The 22,093-nt window shown below is 34.9% G+C and overlaps 1 long non-coding RNA gene across 2 annotated transcripts in view; it reads left to right on the forward strand.

Moving 5' to 3' along the window:
- The window catches only part of SUCLG2-DT (SUCLG2 divergent transcript), a 293,017-nt gene that overhangs the window by 85,382 nt on the left and 185,542 nt on the right, over window positions 1–22,093 (forward strand). The window contains exon 4 of one of the 2 annotated variants that reach the window (NR_109993.1): window positions 6,693–7,032. The exons of the other annotated variant lie outside the window; for it this stretch is intronic. This is a non-coding gene — a long non-coding RNA (SUCLG2 divergent transcript). Of the gene's footprint in view, window positions 1–6,692; window positions 7,033–22,093 lie in introns of those variants that run through there. 2 annotated transcript variants of the gene reach the window in all.

The following is a 22,093-nucleotide window of genomic DNA, read 5'->3' on the forward strand; positions in this document are numbered from 1 at the left end:
TCTTTGATGACTTATTTCACTTAACATAATACCTTCCAGACTTTTTCATGTTGCCACAAATGACAGGATTTTATTCTTTTTAATGGTTGGATAGCTTCTATTGTGTATATATACCATATTTTCTTTATCTATTCATCTGGTGATGAACATTTAGGTTGATCCCATATCTTGGCTATGTGAATAGTGTTGCAATAAACATGGGGGGCAGATATATGCTTGTAAAAGAATTGCCTTTTCTCTGCATCCTCTTCTGCATTTGTTATTTTTTGTCTTTTTGATAATAACCATTCTGATGGGAGTGAGGTGATATCTCACTGTAGTTTGGATTTACATTTTCCTAATGATTGGTGATATTGAGCATTTTTTTCATATACTTCTTGGCCATTTGTATATCTTCTTTTGAGAAGTGTTTTTTCAGATCCTTTGCCCACTTTTAAGTCAGATCTTTTTTTGTATGAATTGTTTGAGTTCCTTGTATATTCTGGATATTAGTTCCTTTTCAGATTAATAGTTTGCAAATATTTTTTCTCGTTCAACACATTGTCTCTCTCTCATGTTGATTGTTTCCTTTGGTGTACAGAAGCTTTTTAGTTTGATATAGTGCCATTTGTCTTTTTTTGTTTCTGTTGCTTGTGCTTTTGAAATCTTAGTCATAAGTTTTTTGCCTAGACCAATGTCCTCAAGTGTTTCCCCTATGTTTTCTTCTAGTGATTTTATAGTTTCAGGTCTTATATTTAAGTCTTCAATTCATTTTGAGTTTATTTTTGTATATGGTGACAGACAGGGATCATTTCATTCTTCTACATATGGATATCCAGTTTTTCTACCATCTCTTTTTGAAGAGGTTGTGCTTTCCTCAATATGTATTCTTGGTGCCTTTGTCAAAAATTAGTTGGCTGTAAACATATGGATTTAATGCTAGGTTCTCTGTTACTTTCCACTGGTCTGTGTGTCTGTTTTTATACCAATACTATGCTGTTTTGTTTGCTGTAGCTTTGTAGTACATTTTGAAGTCAGGTGGTGTGGTACTTTCAGCTTTGTTCTTTTTGCTCAGCATAGCTTTGGCTACTCAAGGTCTTTTATGGTTTCATACAAATTTTGGAACAGTTTTTAAAAGTTCCTGTAAAGAAGGTCATTGATATTTTGATAGGAATTGCATTGAATCTGTAGATTGTTTTGGGTGTATAATCATTTTAACAATGTTAATTTTTTTGTTCTATGAGCCTGATATGTCTTTCCATTTGTTGTTGTTGTTGTGTTGCCTCTTCAATTTCTTTTATCAGCATTTCGTGGTTTTCATTATAGAGATCTTTCACCTTCTTGGTTAAATTTATATCTAGGTATTTTACATATTTTTTGTAGCTATGGAATTGCAGTTTGATTTCTTTTTCAACTAGTTCTTTATTGATGTATAGAAACACTACTGATTTTTGTATATATTGATGCAGTATTCTGCCACTTTACTAGATTTGTCTGTGCTAAGGGTATTTATTTATCTTTAGGTTTTTCTATATACAAGATAATGTACTCTGTGAAGAGGGACAATTTGACTTTCTATTTTCTAATTTGAATGCCCTTTAATTCTTCTCTTGCTAATTACTCTAGCTAGGACTTCCAATACTGTGTTGAGTAGAAGTGGTGAAAGTGGGCATTTTTGTCTTTCTCCACCTTTTAGAGCGAAGGCTTTCAGCTTTGCCCCGTTCAGTATAATGTTAGTTATGGGTTTGTCCTATATATGGCTGTTTTTGTTTTGAGGTATGTTCCTTCTATATTTAATTTGTTTAAAGTTTTTAAAATCATTTTATAAAATATTTTTTCTGTGTTTATTGAGATGATCACATGATTTTTGGGTTTTATTCTGTTGATGTGATGTATTACATTCATTGATTTGCAAATGTTGAACCAACCTTGCATCCCTGGGGTAAATCCCAGTTTAGCATGATGTATTATTTTTTTCAATGCACTGTTTGATTCAGTTTGCTGGTATTTTGTTGAGAATTTTTACAGCTTTCTTCATCAGGGATATTGTCCTGCAGTTTTCTTTTTTTGTTATGTCTTTTTCTGGTTTTGGTATGAGGGTAATGCTGGTCTCATAGAATGTGTTAGGAAGAATTTCCTCCGCTTCAATTTTTGAAATGGTTTGAGAAGATTTAATGTGACTTCTTTAGAAGTTTGGAATTTAGCAGTAAAGCTATTCAGACTAGGCTATTCTTTGTTGGGAGACTTTTTATTAACAATGAATCTCATTAATTATTATTGGTCTCTTCAGTTTTTCTATGACTTCCTGATTCAGTCTTGGTAGGTTATATATGTCCAGGAATTTATACATTTCTTGCAGGTTTTCCAATTTGTTGGTGTATAATTGTTCATAACAGTTTCTAATAGTCCTTTGTATTTCTGTGGTATCAGTTGTAAAGTCTCCATTTTTTTGCTTCTGATTTTATTTATTAGGGTCTTCTCCTTTTCTTAATTTAGCTAATGGTATGTTGATTTTGTTTATCTTTTCAAAAAAACCTGCTTTTTGCTTTGTTGGCCTTTTGTATTTTTTTTATCTCAACGTCTTTTAGTTGTGCTATAATCTTTATTATTTTTTTCCTTCTATCAGTTTTGGGTTTGGTTTGTTCTTGCTTGTCTAGTTCCTTGAAGTGCGTAATTAGGTTGTTTATTTGAAATCCTTGTACATTTTTGATGTAGTCATTTATTGCTAAAAATTTCCCTCTTAGTACTGCTTTTGTTATATCCCATGAGTTTTGGTATGTTTCTATTTTCATTTGTTTCAAGACTTTTTTTTATTTCTTTCTCAATGTCTTCATTAACTGAATAATCATTCAGAAACATGTTTAATTTGCATTTACAGTTCTGTAAGAGTCTCTTAGGTCCATTTTGTCTATAGTGCAGTTTAAGTCCAATGTTCCTTGCTGAGTTTCTGTCTAGGTGATTTGTGCAATACTGAAAGTGAGGTGTTGAAGTTCCCAGCTCTTACTATATTATTAGAGCTAACTTGTTATATACCTGGGTGCTTCTTTGTTGGGTACATATATAATTGTTATATCTTCTTTTTTTATTATTATACTTTAAGTTTTAGGGTACATGTGCACAATGTGCAGGTTTGTTACATATGTATACATGTGCCATGTTGGTGTGCTGCACCCATTAACTTGTCATTAACATTAGGTATATCTCCTAATGCTATCCCTCCACCCTCCCCCCACCCCACAACATATATCTTCTTGCTGAATTTGTCCCTTTATCATTATATAATCACCTTCTTGATTTCTTTTTTTTTTCACTTAAAGTCTGTTTTTTCTGATATAAGTACAGCTGTTTCTACATGCTTTTGATTTCCATTTGTGTGGAATACCTTTTTATATCCCTTAACTCTAAGTCTATGTGTGTATTTATGGACGAAGTACCTTCTCACAGGCAACATATGGTTGAGTTTTTTAAAACATCTATTCAGCCAGTCTGTATCTTTTAACCGGGAATTCAAACTTTACAATCAAGGTTTTTATTGATGGAAGAGAACTTACTCTTGTCATTTTGTTCATCGTTATCTAATTATTTTATATATCCTATGTTCCTTCATTTATGTCTTGTGATTTATCTTTGTGATATGGTGGTTTTCTGTAGTAATGACATTCTCCAGGTGTCAAGATGATGTTTTACTTTGGGACCTCAATTTTCTGATGGATCCAAGAAAAGCCATTGATTTTCAATTTGATCAGCTTTTTATTGTTGTTTTAAGGATGGAAATGATTGGAATGTGACTACCACTTTACATATCAGAACTGAAATGGGAAGCTTATACATTAAAGTTTTAGAGGACTCACTTTTTATTCTTTTTGGAATCTTTTTTGTGTTTTTTTGATACTAATTTACAAAATTCGTGTTTTTTAGTACGGATTAGTGACACTGGAATGATAGTCAAGTCACTTTTAACTTCATTGTTCTAAATTTCTTTTAAAAAATTGTTTTGAAACAGGTTCCTGCTCTGTCACCCAGCCTGGAGTGCAGTAATACAATCATAGCTCACTACAGCCTCGAACTCCTGGGCTCAACTGATTCTCTTGCCTCAGCCTCCTGAATAGCTGGGACAACAGGCATGTGCCACCACACCCGGCTAATATTTTTTACGTTTTGTGGAAGTGGAGTCTCACTATGTTACCCAGGCTGGCCTCAAACTCATGAGTTCAAAACATACTCCTGTCTTAGCCTCTCAAAATCCTGGGATTATAGATGTGAGCCAGGATAACTGGCCCATTATTCTAAATTCCAATCATTCATGAGTCTATGAAAAATTTATAACAAATGACTACTTTGGAGTTCAATAAGCTGAGTAACTCAGCCTCAGTCACACAACTAACTAACCCCAGAGAAGAGACCCAAATCTCTCTGGTCCTCTGGACACATTGCTCAGTGATCTTGCCTCTGCATCTTTCTAAGGTCTGGTTTCACTCTATAATTTTCTTTCAAACCATGGTATGACTGTGAACCTAGTGTACTTTCTGTTATCTTGTTGGGGAAAAATTATAATACATAATTCAATAGCATACACATTATTTGCTTTCCTTTGTAGATTCCAGGGAGTCTACCAACTTATAACACATTAAAAAATCATTTAAAGGTATTAGAAAGGTATTTTTTGGTTGAGTAAAAGTGGAAATGTATGAACAGTTTAAAATTTTTTTTTTGGTTGTTGAGTGATCTTCACTTTGAATACTGAAGGAGTCTGATTTCATTCTATTGGTTTTTCAATGACAGGTATGTCCTTAAAATTCAACTATTTATTTAGGCTGTCACTAAAGAAAACTGCTGACATGGTAAAAGCCCATGGTATAAGTACCAAGCCTAAAAATATGTGGAGTGTTTAGAGAGAATATAAAAAAAAAAAAGATATGTAAAAGAATGTGAATTAAGCCAGCAGTTTGTCTTTGAAAAAGAGAGTGTTGATTTGGGGCTTCTGATCTGTATGCTACCCCATTTCTCTACTGATATTTCTCTACTGATAGTAAAGATGTTCAAAGGCACCTAAAAGTCTGAACTATTAAGAAGCTATACTCCAAAATCAATGTTAGTTTTGTCTCTCACTCCTTCACAGACAGGCTTTTTTTTTTTTTTTTTTTTTTTTTAAATCAATTCCTGTTTGGGGCTAATTGTTTAAAAGCCATGACTTCATTTTCAGGTTAAATACATGTCTCTTCCATTCTGAGAATTAAAAAAAAAGAAAAGAAAAAAAAAAAACAGTCTTTGAGTACTATGTTCAATTTACTAAAAATATCTAGAAAACTAAAGTATTCCCAAAGGCAAATCTTTGGTGTGACAGATGTAAAATAATATCCACAAGCTGAAGGGTCTGTCTTAGAAAAGCATTCTGCAACTGCTTCAACAAGAGTACTGGGTGTCATTTATAATTCATGCAAGTATATTGAAGCTTTCTGCTGTCGTCCAAGAAAGATGGTTTTCAAAGCTACAGAGTGCAATAATCCAATATTCCTTGTAGAGAGTCCCATATATCTCATATAGATTTTACACTGGAGATCATTTCCATGCTGATGACCTCAAGAATACAATGTGATATTTTCAGAAAACACAGATTTATGCTATGTGCTATTTCTGTGGGCTTGGGGGACAACCATTAGATCATTAAGTTGAAGGTATATTTCTAGTCAGACTTAATCCACATTGCAGTGGTCACTACAAAAAAAAATGTGTATCTAAATGCCTCAAGAACTTCAGTTTTTGTGTTCAACATATTTTGCAGTGGAAAATGAGTTTGATGATCAGAGTGTACTCCTATAGAAGGCAAAATGACCATGAGAATAATTAGAATAATTCAATCATTTCTTCTTCTTCTTCTTCTTCTTTTTTTTTTTTAAACAGAGTCTTGCTCTGTCGCCCATGCTGGAGTGCACTGGAGTGATCTCGGCTCACTGCAAGCTCCGCCTCCCGGGTTCACGCCATTCTCCTGCCTCAGTCTCCCGAGTAGCTGGGACTACAGGCACTCGCCACCACGCCCGGCTAATTTTTTTGTATTTTTAGTAGAGTCAGGGTTTCATCGTGTTAGCCAGGATGGTCTTGATCTCCTGACCTCGTGATCCGCCCACCTCGGCCTCCCAAAGTGCTAGGAATACAGGCGTGAGCCACTGTGCCTGGCCTCAATCATTTCTTCTAAAGTACAGGACTTTGAATATGAGATCAGCTTATATTCAAAATCAATTTAATAATTAAATCAAATTTAAATATTAAATTATTTGCAGGCCAAAAGAAGTGAGCTTCCTAAAGTGACACCCAATACTCTTGTTAAAGCTGCTACAGAATGCTTTTCTAAGAAAGACCCTTCAGCTTATGGGTGTTATTTTACATCTGTCACACAAAAGATTTCTCTTTGGAAACAATTTAGTATTCTAAATATTTTTAGTTAATTGAACATAGTACTCAAAGACTGACTTTTGTTGCCACTATGAGAACATGGTAATGTCACAGGTCAACCAATAACAGGTAGTTATTACAGGCTCTGATTAACACTACAGTGCATTTGAAGACCACATAGTCAGAAAATAATCAAAGACATTTTCAATAGACCAATGTGTGCAATATAATCTATCATAAAAATCCAGTTATGAGAAATTCTCCATCCACAGTAACCTTTTGAGTAGCACCTGCCCTTCAATATTTCCCTCCTTTCTTTTCAGGATTTCATCAAATGGTCTGCTGCACTGTGCTGGAATTTTGAACTCCCCAGAGTAGTAAACAACATCTTCTCAAGGGTATACAAGTCATCAGATAGAGAAAACACCCATTATAGAGCTGTGGAGCCCTTACGATATAGTGCTATGCTGCAACAAATTAGACAGAAGAGTATTTGTTGAATAATAAAAGGTATCAATGAACGAACAAATAAATTAATGAGCTGATGTATTGATTAAATGAATTTACTTCTTTCAGATTTACTTTTCCAAACTAAAAAAAAATTGTTTTAAACTTTGTTCCAAAGTTATACAGTTTTTACAAAAATAAAACTTTATTTTTGAATTGCTTTATATTTACAGAAAAGTTGCAAAGATATGGAAAGTTGCCTCACCCTATAATTAGCTTCTGACATTAGTATGGTACATTTGTCACAATTATTGAACCAGTATTGATGATATGTTATTATTAACTAAATTCTATACTTTATAAAGATTTCCTCAGTTTTTACCTAATGCCATTTCTCTGTTCCAGGAACCCATCCCAGAAATCACATTTCATATTGATATCAAGTTTCCTAAGACTCCTCTTCGTAGGTACAGTTTCAGGGCCAAAATTTTAAGGGCCTTGAGTGTTTTGAGCAGTACTGGACAGGTGTTTTTTAGGATGTCCCTCGACTGAGCTTTGACTGATGAATTGCTCATGATTGAATTGGGACTATGGGTCTTCAGAAGAAAGATCATGAGCCCTTTTTGTCACATCATGTCAAAGATACCATGCCATCAATACAACTTATTACTGATGATGTTGACATTGACCACTTGACTGAGATAACATTTGTCAGATTTCTCCACTGTAAAGTTACTTTTCCCCACTTTCCATACTATACTCTTTTGTAGGAAGTCACTATGCACAGGCCATACTTAAAGAGAGCTCCATCTCCTTGAGGGCAGAGTAACTACATTAAATATTTGAAATCTTTCTGCCCAGGAGATTTGTCTATTTTTCCAATTTATTTATTCAATCTATTATTATTATGTTAGATATGAGACCTTGCTATGTTGCCTAGATGGGTCTCAAACTCCTGAGCTCAAGTAATCCTTCTGTCTCAGCCTCCTGAGCAGGTGGGACTATAGGCATGCACCACTGCACCTGACAATCATTTATTGATGGCAGTATGAACTCATGGACATTTGTTTTATCCTTAAGTTATAACCCAATATTATATTATTTTATTGCTAAATTATTTCAGTTTTGGCCATTGAAGCTCTTTTGTTTAATGCCCATGTCATTTTGACATACCTCTATCATTGTGGGATTTCTTTTTACTTTTTTGCAGATATTTCTTTAGTTTTTGGCACTACAAGAGGCTCTAGTTTCATCATCTATCCTGCCCCAGCCCAAGATTCAACCATTTCTTCAAGTAGCCCTTGCTCTTTTTTACTGTACATTGTAATTAATAATCAAGTTCTTGGCACTAGGTTCTTCAGAAATTTTTTTTTAGTTTATATGTTTGTTGATAAGGTATTGATAAAGATTCTGCTAGTGATTACCAATGTAACTTTTGGCAAATTATCTGAAACATGGAAATAATAATTTCTACTTCATAGGACTGTTGTACATTTTAAATGGATTCACTAGGATAGTGCACGGAGTAAAAGGAAACAAATAGTAACTCTAAATGGTATTATTACAAATTCATTGGAAATAAATAAATGTAAATTTGCTTCCAAAAGTCAATCTGAATTCTCTGGAAGTTTTGTTTCTGCTTTGACATGTTTTCATTGCTATATACGTAGACTAAGAAGTTAGAGACTCTGATTCTAGGCCTAGCTCGGTTGTTAAAAAGAATTCACTCCAGTCATCTAATGCCTCCTCTTTTAAAATGGGTATAATACTCTTTGCTGACTTTAACCCCACAGGGTTAGTCTATTGGTGTAATTGATATAAAATGAAGTTTATACAAATGTATAGGTGGCAATATTACCACCATTTTTGTCGGTATCATAGGCCTCTGATTCATTCATTGCTCTTTGCAGCTCCATTTTCTTTCTCCTTTTCTTAAAAAGTGTTGACCATACTATCTTGAATCCATCTATTTATTATAAACTTTAATTATGTCAGGTTTTGAAAAACTAGTATTCAAGTTTAGACAACACAATTGTGTTCAAATGCTATTACAACGAATCCACATTGCACAACTATTTTAGAGACTTAAAATTTAGTTAACATTTTTCTAATTAGTTCGCAGACAGTAGTAAGCTGGTGAGCCCACCTAGTTCTTGGTCTTGAGAAATTTTCATTCAACTAAGCATAACTAAGCCTACTGAGTTACTAAGTCATAAAGAAAGTAGAAATATAGATGTTTGGGAAAGTAAGGGATAGCAGGAGTGTGTGGCATCTTAAAAATGCCCTAGTATCAAATTATTGATGCAAAGCAGTTGGCTACTGTCTTAAAAGGAAGGGACATCAACCATCTAGACAAGATCAAATATCAAAGTCGATGGGTTTTGCAAACTGATCATCTTGTTTTCCTCTTACCAAGGTAAAGCAAGGTGCTTCGACACACCTGATAGATTACAGACTGTATCAATATCACTATATGAGTAATGTTGATCTCCATAGGATGTGTCAACCTTCAAAAACATTTTAACAGGTTTATGTAATTGTTTGCTATCTCGTTGTTGGGCAGTATGGATAAGAAAAAGTGAATATTTAGCTCTAAATCCTTTGAGCCTCACTTCCTTCAAAATACCTGTCAGATCATCTGCAAAAATTCACTCTAATTGATCTTAAGACTTAATGGCAACATGTTGAGAAGGAGAATTGAACTGGGTTCCCATGCTAAATGTGTTTAAAGTCACTTCTCTGATTTATTTTCTTTCTTTCATGGACAGCAAATTCAAACTTAACTATTTGTACGTATCAGTGAATACCTTTTGTTATGGGTGTAAGATTTATTTGCAAATCGGCAAAATGGTTAATCAAATATTTTGTGTGCATTATCTGATCTCTTAACCTTTCTGTGCATCTGATTCATAAATAACCAAATATATTAATAATTCTTTTTTTTTTTTTTTGAGACAGAGTCTCACTCTATTGCCCAGGCTGGAGTGCAGTGGCATGATCTCGGTACACTGCAAGCTCTGTCTCCTGAGTTCAAGCGATTCTCATGCCTCAGCCTCCCGAGTAGCTGGGATTACAGGTGTGCACCACCATACATGGCTAATTTTTTTGTACTTTTAGTAAAGACGGGGTTTCACCATGTTGGACAGGCTGGTCTTGAACTCCTGAACTCAGGTGATCCACTTGCCTTGGCCTCACAGAGTGCCATGGCCAGCCAATAATTCTTAGTAATCCTTAGATGGATGTGGTCTTAACTATTAACGCATGTTTATTTTAGATTTGCCATTTCAACAGATTTATTGGTTTCTTTTTTCTCTCAGCCTCCTAGCTACCTTTAAAAAATTGAAAATGGAATCCCATACCTGCATAAATATTAAGGGCAAATTAACTTCAAGGCTGTGTAGAGACAGGAAGACTCAGATCCATATTTACATGTTTTACCTGGGAATGGGGGTGGGATTCAGAAGAATAGAAAAGATAATTGTTTCCCCACTGATTATACTTCCTGTGTTTCATTTTCAGTTTTCCAATAATAACATAGAAAAAAGGAAGAATTTGAGAGTTTCTCAGATTAGGCAATTCCTTGAAGAATCTGAGAACACAGAAGCTCCCCTCCCTACTTTCCATGATTGAAATCAGTGATTCATTGGTTTCTTTGTGTGGGCTTTTGAAAGATCATTAGAAACCAACCTGAAGATCATGAGATTCTTGTGGACACAGGAGCAATGAGTGGCAATACAGTGCTTTCTAATGCAACCTACTTTAAAAGGTAAACAGATAAAAGAAAATACCGAAGACTGAAAATGCAGAAAATTCAACCATGCAGCCCATTCCAAATTAAATATGTCTTCCTCTCTAATTCCTCTCTTCTAGCAGAGAAGGGGAGATGAGCTATGACTCCATGCTCATGCTTAACAAAATTGTGTTAGATTGGTGCAAAAGTAATTGCAGTTTTTGCCATTTAAAAGTAATTGCAATGTTATCTCCTAGAATTTTTATAGTTTCAGGTCTTAAGTTTAAGTCCTTAATCCATCTTGAGCTGATTTTTTGTATAGGGCTGGACGTTCGCTTAGGCAAGGATTTCATGACCAACAACCTGAAAGGAAATGCAATAAAAACAAAGATAAATAGCTGGAACCTAGTTAAACTAAAGAGCTTTTGCATGGCAAAAAGAAGAGTCAGCAGAGCAAACAGATAACAAACAGAGTGGGAGAAAACCTTCATAATCTGTACATCTGACAAAGTGCTAATATCCAGAATCTACAATGAACTCAAACAAATCAGTAAGAAAAAAACAATTCCATCAGAAAGTGGCTAAGGATATGAATAGGCAATTCTCAAAAGAAGATATACAAATGGCCAACAAACATAGGAAAAAACGCTCAACATCACAAATGATCAGGGAAATGCAAATCAAAACCACAATGCGATACCACCTCACTCCTGCAAGAATGGCCATAATTAAAAAAAAAAATCAAAAAACAGTAGATGTTAGCATGGATGCGGTGAACAGGGAACACTTCTACACTGCTGGTGGGAATGTAAACTAGTAAAGCCACTATGGAAAACAGTGTGGAGATTCCTTGAAGAATTAAAAGTAGAACTACCATTTGATCCAGCAATCCCACTACTGGGTATCTACCCAGAGGAAAAGAAGTCACTATTCAAAAAAGATACTTGCACACACATGTTTATAGTGGCACAATTCAAAATAGCAAAATCGTGGAACCAACCCAAATGCCCATCAATCAACAAGTGGATAAAGAAACTGTGGTATGTATATATAATGGAATACTATGCAGCCATAAAAAGGAATGAATTAACAGCATTTGCAGTGACCTGAATGAGATTGGAAACTTATTCTAAGTAAAGTAACTCAGGAATGGAAAACCAAACATCATATCTTCTCACAGATATATGGGAACTAAGTTATGAGGACTCAAAGGCATAAGAATGATACAATGGACTTTGGGGACTTGGGGGGAAGGGTGAGAAGTGGGTGAGGTATAAAACACTACAAATATGCTGCGGTGTATACTGCGCAGGTGATGGGTGCACGAAAATCTCACAAATCATCCCTAAAGAACTTACTCATGTAACCAAATACCATCTATACCTCAATAACTTATGGGGAAAAAAGTAATTGCAAAAACTGCAATTACCTTTGCATGAACCAAAGGCCTACTTTGGAGAGTCAGAGGAATTCTTAACCATAATTCAACCAAGACATACGGTATGTGCCTTCTCTTTGGTGGAACAGTGAATATACAGGCTACTAGCCTGTACTGAGTGTTTCAGCCAAAACACATTCTTTTAAAAGTCACAGTTTTAAGTGACAATATCCCAATGAAAATACAAATTAAAAAATGCATTGGCATATCTATATTCCCTCCCAAAATAACACACATTTGGAATATATAAAGAACTCTTAAAAGTCAATGAGAAAAAAAGCAATAGCTCAGTAGAAAAGTGGGAAGAAGACTTGGACACTTCAGAAAAGAGAATATATTAAAATAGTCCATAAACAGAAATAAAAGGTGCTCAACTTTATGAGTCATCTGGGATATGTAGATTAAAACCACAGTGCAATATTATACCACCCCTACCAGAATAACTAAAAAGAGTAAGTTGGAAAATACTCAGTGCTGATGAGAAAGTGGGGTAATTGAAACTCTTATACATCATTCTAGGAACATCCACTTAGGAAAACAACTTGGCAGTGTCTAATAAAGTCCAGTATATGCATTCCCTATAACCCAGAATTTTTACTCTCAGGTGTATACCCAACAGAAATGCAGGTGTGTGTTCACCAGAAATCATGTTCAAGAATGTTCATGGTATCACTAGTCATGAGGCACAAAAACTGGAAATGTTCATCAACAATGAGTAGGATAAATAAGTTGTGTTAATATTTATACAATTGAAAATTATACAGCAGAAAGAATAAATAATCTAAACCTACACACAACAGCATGAAGAAATCTCATGAGTGGAATGTTAGATCATAACCTAAATAAACTTACCTGGAGCAGGTGCCACTGAAGCCATAAAATGGTAGGATGAATTGCTGGAGGCTGACTATGGACTAGCTTGACAGTAAAAAATTTGGGGAGGTCCATTCTGAAGGAGGCCCCTCACACTTTCTTGGATTTTATCTTCAGGAAGCCCACCAGATTTTCATGGTGAAGATCTTAGAAAACATCTCTCATATCTTGGTCAGTTGGGGGAAAGTAGCATTTTGAAATAATCCTAGAGCATTCTCCATAGCCAAGGTTTACTCCTCAACGGAAACAACTTTACCAGAGCCTTAGTTGACCATGGAGAAGGGCAGTTAGCCCCCTACATCCCTCTCTAGCTTTCTTGTGTTACTTAGTGGAAGGAAAAAAAGGATAAGAAACACTTCTGAAGTCCAATTCAGGGACTTGAGCCCACTAAAAGACTGAAATATACTTACCTCCTCCACACCTTACCACCACATCAACACAGCTCCAGAATAATCACAATGGGTTACAATGGAAAGAGCTGCAAAACATAGACTCTATTTAAGAAGGAATTCTTAGGGAAATCCAATGTGGAGAAAACAAAGACACTGAGGAAACTAAAGTCTCTGGCATCTATAGCTATGGAAAACATGAAGCACAACCCATCTGCTAGGCAGATTGACATAAAACCTCATACTAAAGACCTATTTTCCTCAGTTCTCATTACCTGATACATCATGTTTGACTTTTAACAAAAAATCATAAGGAAGGCTATACAAAAAGAAAAGGAAAAACACAGTCAGAAGAGACAAAGTAAGCATCTGAACTAGACTTTGACATGAAACAAAGTTTGGAATAATCAAATAGATAATTAAAAATAACTATGATTAGTTATGTTAAGGACTGTAATAGAAAAAGTATAAGCATGCAAGAGCAGATGAATAATATAAGCAGAATAATGAAAACTCTAAGAAAGAATCAGAAGAAAATGACAGAAATGAAAAACACTGCAACAGAAATGAAGAATGCCTTTGATAAGCTCATTACTAAACTGAACATAAACAAGGAAATAATCAATAATTTAAAGATATATCAAAGGAGACATTGCAAATTGAAATACTAAGAGAAAAAGGACTACAACCTCCATTCCAATATCCAAGAACAATTACAAAAATATAACATATGCATAATTGAAGTACTAGAAGAAGAAGAAAGGAGCAGAGGAAGTGCAGAGGAAGTACAGTAGTTCCCTCTTATCCATGGTGGATACATTCAAAGACCCCCAGTGGATGCCTGAAAATGCAGATAGTACCAAACCCTACCTATACATTCTATGTTTTTTCCTATATGTACATATCTATGATAAGGTTTAACTTATAAATTAGGCATAAAAAGAGTTTAACAGTATAATAAAATAGAAAAATTATAACAATACTCAGAACCAAGCACAACTGAAAACTTGTGAAATGTTTATTTCTGGGCATGGTGGCTCATGCCTGTAATCCCAACACTTTGCAAAGCCAAGGCAGATGGATTGCTTGAGCTCAGGAGTTTAAGACCAGTGTGGGAAGCATGGTGAAACCTCATCTCTACAAAAAATACAAAAAATTATCTAGGTGTAGTGGCACATGCCCATAGTTCCAGCTACTCGGGGTGGTGGGAGGGTGTGTGGTGGGGGGCAGTGTGGGGTGGAAGGGAGCTGAAATGGGATAATCGCTTGAGACCAGGAAGTCAAGGCTGTACTGAGCCTTGACTGGGCCACTGCACTCCAGCCTGGGTGACAGAATGAGACCCTGTCTCAAAAAAAAAAAAAAAGGAAAATTATTAAGGATAAAGATGGGCATTAAATAATGAGAAAGGGGCAATTATCCAAAAAACATAATAATTCTTAAGTTATGCAGGTAACACAGCATCTAAATACATGAGACAAAAATTTATAAAACTGCAAGAAGAAATAATCAAATTTAATATTATTTAATAATATTTTTGGAGATCTCAACATCCCTATATTAATAACAGCTAATTTCAACAAGCAGAAATCAGGAAAATGTTCAACTGAATAGCACTAACAATGAACAGGATCTAACTGTTCAAGTAGCAGCAGAATAATTAATCAAGTAACAGCAGAATACATATTCCTCTCAAGTTTATATGGGACTTTATGCAAAATAGACCACATTCTGGGGCTGAAAAAGATGCCCTCACAAATTTAAAAGAATAGAAGGTTTACTGCATGTGTTCTTAGACTATAATGAAATTTAACTGGAAATCAGTGCCAGAAAAAAACTCAGAAGTCCCCAAATAGTTTGAGATTAAATAACATACTTTTATATAACACATAGGTCAAAGAAGAAGTCTCAAAGGAAATTTAAAAATATTTCGAACTAAACAAAATGAAATGTACATCAAAATTTATGGGATGCTCAGGAAAAATAGCTAGTGGATGCTTGGCTTCATACCTAGGTGATGGGTTGATCTGTGCAGCAAAGCACCATGGCACACGTTTACCTATGTAACAAACCTGCACATCCTGCACATGTACCCTGGAACTGAAAATAAAAATTGATTAAAAAAGAAAGAGAAAGGATAATTCCTTTCACCCACAGTTTCCTGTCTCCTAATAGTCCTTCTGTTGTGTCTTTAAATAAATGTGTCTCAAATCTTAAGATATTCATAAAATCTGGGATTGCAGATGTATTTTGCATTACAAGTCCTATTTTTATTTTTTAATGGAATGCTGTAAAAGCAGTTCTTAGAGGCAAATTTATAGCAGCAAATGCATATATTAGAAAAGAAGAAAAATCTAAAATCACTAATAGAAATGTGCCTTAGGAAAGTAAAGAGAGGAGAGCAATTTAAGCCTCAAGTAAGCAGAAGAAAAGACATAAAACTTTGAGCAGAAATCAATAAAATTGAAAACATGAGGTCAACAGAGAAAGTCAATAAACCCAAAAGGCAATGCCTTTAAAAGATCAATAAAATCGATAAATCCATAGCCAGGCTAACCAAGTGAAAAAGGGAGAAGACACAAATTATAAATATTGATTCCATAGACATTAAAAAGATAATAAAAGAACATTACAAACAAATGTATACTGACACTTTTGGTAATTTAGATGAAATGAATCAATTCCTTGAAAGACATAAACCATCAAAACTTATGGAAAAGAAATACATTACCTAAATAGATCTATATTTATTTAAAAAATAGATAAATCATTAATAATCTTTCGAAAAAGAAAGCGTCTCGCCCAGATTCTTTCACTAATGAATTCCACCAAGCATTTAAGGAAGAAATAATGTCAGTTCTCTATAATCACTTTTAGAAAATAGAAGTAAGAGGTATACCTCCTAACTCATTCAAGGAGGCAGGCATTATCTTAATATCAAAACCGGGGAAATACACTACAAGAAATGAAACCTACAGCTCAATATATTTTATGAATATAGATGGAAAAATTTTCAATAAAATATTAGCTAATTGAATCCAAAAATATATAAAAATAGTAATACATCACAGTAAGTGCAATTTATTTTAGGCATACCAGACTGATCTGACATTTATTAACTGGCTAAAGAACTATTTTATGATTCTGTCAATTGATGCAGAGAAAGCATTTGACAAACTCCAACATCTATTTATGAGAAAAAGTCTTAGAAAACTAGGAATAAAAAACATCCTCAACTTAATCTGGAACATCTAAAAAATGGGACTTCACGCTATTTTATGGTGAGAAATGATATGCTTTTCTTCTATATTGGGAACAAGACAAGGTTCTTTTTTTGCCACTCTTATTCACCATCCTACTGGATGTCCTAATTAGTGCAACAAGGCAAGAAAAAATATATATACAGATTAGAAAGAAAAAAAGAAAACTACCTCTGTTCAAGATGACATAATTACTTATTTAGTAAAACTGAAAGAATTGACTCCTGGAATTAATATGTGATTATAGCAAGGTTGCAGGATGCGAGGTTAATAGAAGTCAATTGTGTTTCCATGTACCACCAGTGAACAAGTGAAAATTGAAGTTGAAAACAAAATACAATTTCATTCCTTCCCCCAGCAAAAATGAAATATAAACAACAAAATATGTATACAACGTATATTATGTATATGGAAAATTTTAAGTCTGATGAAAGAAATAAAGGAAGATCTAAATAAATGGAGATGTACCACTTTCATGGATAAGTAGATTCAATAATGTTGAGATATAAATTCTTCACGAATTGGTGTATACATTTAATACAATTCTAATAAATTCTCAGCAAGTTATTTTGTGGTTATTGACAAATTTATTCTATTTTTTAGCTTCATCTCAAAAGATGATTTTAAAATTTATATGGAAATGCAAGAGACCCAGAATAGTCTACATAATACTGACCAAAGGACTAAGTTGGAGAACTGACACTACTCATAGTACTACAAAGCTACAGTAATTATGACAGTGAGGTATTTGTACAAGAATAGACAAATGGATTAATAGAAAAGAGGAGAGAGCCTCTTTTAGACCCTCAACTGATCCTTGACAGAGCAAAATAAATTCAATTGAGAAAGGACAGTCTTTTCAACAAATAATCATCAAAAATTGTGCATATACATGCAAAAATGAATCTAGACATATACCTTATGCTTTTCACAAAAATTAATTTAAAATGGACCTTAGTTCTAAATGTAAAACAAAAACTAGAAAACTTCTATGAGATAGCATAGGAGAAAATCTAGGTGACCTTGGGTTTGATTAAATCATGATCCATGAAAGAAAAAAATTAAAAAAAAATTGAACTTAATTAAATTTAAAAATTGTTATGTGAAATATATTGTTAAGTAAATGAGAAGACAAGCCACAGAATGAGAGAAAATATTTTAAAAACATATCCAGTAAAGGAGTTAAATCCAAATGACACCAAGGTATTTAAATAATTCTATGTAATGATCAAAAGATCTGAACATTCAACTCACCAAATAAGATGTACAGATGGCATATAAGCATATGAAAAGATGCTCAACATCTTATGTTATTAGAGAATAGTAAATTAAAACAACAATGAGAAACCACTACACCTATTAGAATGGCTGAAATCCAAATTACTGACAACAACCAATGCTGTTGAGAATGCAATGCAAGAGAAACTCTAGTTCATCCAATTTTCAAATGTGACTGTAAAAGGCTGCAGCCACTTTAGAAGACATTTTGTCTGTTTCTTACAAAGCTAAGCATAGCCTTGCATTATAATCTGCAGTTGTGTTCCTCTGTATATACCCAATTACACTGAAACATTATGTCTACAAAAAAATCCTGAAAACAAATGTTTATAGCAGGTTTATTGTTACTTGGTAGTTACCAAAAATGGAAAACAATCAAGATGTCTTTCAATAGATGAGTGAATAAACTATAAGATATCCATAAAATGGAATATTATTCAGCAGTAAAAAGAAATGAGCTTTCAAATCATGAAAAGACATGGAGGAAACTCAAATGCATACTGTTACATGAAAGCAGCCAGTGTGAAAAGGCTACATGCTATATAATTTCAATTAGATGACATTTTGGAAAGAAGCAAAACTGTAAAGAAAAAGATCAGTTTTTGCCTGGCGTTCAGGGAAAGGGAAGAATAAGTTAAGCACAGGAGACTTGGGGAGCTGTGAAATGATTCTGTGCAATATTGGTGGAATTTTGGCAACATTATGCATTTGCCAAAGGCAATAGAAGTTTTTGACACAAAGAGTTACCATAATGCAGGCAAATTTTAGAAAATTATTTAGAAGGTCAGAGGATCCCAGAAGCAATGTGGACTTTACAGAAGAAATTCACTGCATTACAAAGCATCAGATAACCTTAGTAAGGTGGAGAGAGAAAATGGTCTTAACATAAATATCTTTAAAAATGAATGGAATCTGTCAGACTATAGGCAAGATGAGCTGCACAAAAGCACTGTACTCTAGCTGATAAAATTATTTCTCATTGGCTTCTGGTTAACAGTTCTGATACTGCTATACATATATATGGGAATTGAATAATTAAGCCTATAAATGGCAAACATTGGGAGTTATATTTCTCACGGTGTGGAAATTTACAGATCAACTAGGGGAACAGTCTTGAATAATCAATGTGATGATCATTACAGTTGGAGACATCAAGGAGAACTAATGTTTAACTTAATATAGATATGGGTGGTTATATATAGAAATATTCAAAGATGTTTATGTAAATACACAAAAGCACAACCATGACACATCTAAAATAAATAACACCCTGGTAACCATGGGCACACTTAGTACTCAAATGCTGGAGTGCAATGGCGTGATCTTGGCTCACTGCAACCTCTGCCCCCTGGGTTTAAGCAATTCTCCAGCCTCAGCCACCAGAGTAGCAGTGATTACAGGCACTCACCACCACACCTGGCTAATTTTTGTATTTTTAGTAGAGACAGGGTTTCACCATGTTGGCCAGGCTTATCTCGAACTCCTGACCTTGTGATCTGCCCTCCTTGGCCTCCCAAGGTGCTGGGATTACAGGCATGAGCTACCAGGCCTGGCCTGTTGATTTTTTCTTTTTTTTTTTTTTATTATACTTTAAGTTCTGGGATACATGTGCAGAATGTGCAGGTTTGGAACATAGATATACACGTGCCATAGTGGTTTGCTGCACCCATCAATCGGTCATCTATATTAGATATTTCTCCTAATGTTATCCCTCCCCTAGTTCCCTACCCACCAAAGGGCCCAGTGTGTGATGTTCCCCTCCCTGTGTCCATGTGTTCTCTTTTTTCAACTCCCACTTATGAGTGAGAACATGCAGTGTTTGGTTTTCTGTTCCTGTGTTAGCTTGCTGAGAATGATGGTTTCCAGCTTCATCCATGTCCCTGCAAAGGACATGAGCTCATCCTTTTTTATGGCTGCATAGTATTCCATGGTGTATATGTGCCACATTTTCTTTATCCAGTCTATCACTGATGAGCATTTGGGTTGATTCCAAGTCTTTGTTGTTGTGAACAGTGTTGCAGTAAATGGGTGTGTGTCTTTGTAGAATGATTTATAATCCTTTGGGTATATACCCAGTGATGGGATTGCTGGATCAAATGGTATTTCTGGTTCTAGATCCTTGAGGAATTGCCACACTGTCTTCCACAATGGGTGATCTAATTTACACTCCCACCAACAGTGTAAAAGCCTTCCTATTTGTCCACATCCTCTCCAGCATCTGTTGTTTCCTGACTTTTTAATGATCGCCATTTTAACTGGCGTGAGATGGTATCTCACTGTGGTTTTGATTTGCATTTCTCTAATGACCAGTGATGATGAGCTTTTTTTCATATGTTTGTTGGCCACATAAATGTCTTCTTTTGAGAAGTGTCTGTTTATATCCTTTGCCCACTTTTTGATGGGGTTGTTTGTTTTTTTTTCTCGTAAATTTGTTTAGGTTCTTTGTAGATTCTGGATATTAGCCCTTCGGCAGATGAGTAGATTGCAAAAAGGTTCTCCCATTCTGTAGGTTGTCTGTTCACTCTGATGATAGTTTCTTTTGCTGTTTAGAAACTCTTTAGTTTAATTAGATCCCATTTGTCAATTTTGACATTTGTTGCCATTGCTTTTGGTGTTTTAGTCATGAAGTCTTTGCCCATGCCTATGTCCTGAATGGTATAGCCTAGGTTTTCTTCTGGGGTTTTCATAGTTAGAGGTTTTATGTTTAAGTCTTTAATCCATCTTGAGTTCGTTTTTGTACAAGGTCTGAGGAAGGGTTCAGTATCAGTTTTCTGCATATAGCTAGCCAGTTTTCCCAACACCATTTATTAAATAGGGAATACATCCCCCATTGCTTGTATTTGTCGGGTTCGTCAAAGATCAGATGGTTGTAGATGTGTGGCATTATTTCTGAGGCCTCTGTTCTGTTTCATTGGTCTATATATCTGTTTTGGTACCAGTACCATGCTGTTTTGGTTACTGTAGCATTGTAGTAGAGTTTGAAGTCAGGTAGCGTAATACCTCCAGCTTTGTTCTTTTTGCTTAGAATTGTCTTGACTATGCGGGCTCTTTTTTGGTTCCATATGAAATTTAAAGTAGTTTTTTCTAGTTCTGTGAAGAAAGTCAATGGTTGCTTGATGGGGATAGCACTGAATCTATAACTTACTTTGGGCAGTATGGCCATTTTGATGATATTGATTCTTCCTATCCGTGGGCATGATATGTTTTTCCATTTGTTTGTGTCGTCTCTTATTTCCTTGAGCAGTGGTTTGTAGTTCTCCTTGAAGAGGTCCTTCACATACCATGTAAGTTTTATTCCTGGGTACTTTATTCTCTTTGTAGCAATTGTGAATGGAAGTTCACTCATGATTTGGCTCTCTGTTTGCCTATTATTGGTGTATACAAATGCTTGTGATTTTTGCACACTGCTTTTGTATCCTGAGATTTTGCTGAAGTTGCTTATCAACTTGAGATTTTGGGCCGAAATGGTGGGGTATTCTAAATACACAATCATATCATCTGCAAGCAGAGACAATTTGACTTCCTGTCTTCCTATTTGAAAACTCTTTATTTCGTTCTCCTGCCTGATGACCCTGGCTAGAACTTCCAATATATGGTGAATAGGAGTGGTGAGAGAGGGCATCCTTTTCTTGTGCCAGTTTTCAAAGGGAATGCTTCCAGTTCTTGCCCATTTAGTATGATATCGGCTGTGAGTTTCTTGTAAATAACTATTATTATTTTGAGATATGTTCCATCAATACCTAGTTTACTGACAGTTTTTAGCATGAAGCTGTGTTGAATTTTATCAAAGGCGTTTTCTGCGTCTATTGAGATAATCATGTGATTTTTGTCATCAGTTTTGTTTATGTGATGGATTATGTTTATTGATTTGCATATGTTGAACCAGCCTTGCATCCCAGGGATTAAGCTGACTTGATTGTGGAGGATAAACTTTTTGATGTGCTGCTGGATTCGGTTTGCCAGTATTTTATTGAGGATTTTTGCATCGATGTTCATCAGGGATATTGGCCTGAAATTTTCCTTTTTTGTTGTGTCTCTTCCAGGTTTTGGTATCAGAATGATGCTGGCCTCATAAAATGAGTTAGGGAGGAGTCCCTCTTTTTCTATTGTTTGGAATCATTTCAGGAGGAATGGTACCAGCTCCTCTTTTTACCTCTGGTAGAATTTGGCTGTGAATCCATCTGGTCCTGGGCTTTTTTTGGCTGGTAGGCTATTAATTACTGCCTCAATTTCAGAACTTGTTATTGGTCTATTCAAGAATTTGACTTCTTCCTAGTTTAGTCTTGGGAGGGTGTATGTGTTGAGGAATTTA

Source organism: Homo sapiens, chromosome 3 (assembly GCF_000001405.40).
Source record: "Homo sapiens chromosome 3, GRCh38.p14 Primary Assembly".
NCBI classification, from domain to species: Eukaryota; Metazoa; Chordata; class Mammalia; order Primates; family Hominidae; genus Homo; species Homo sapiens.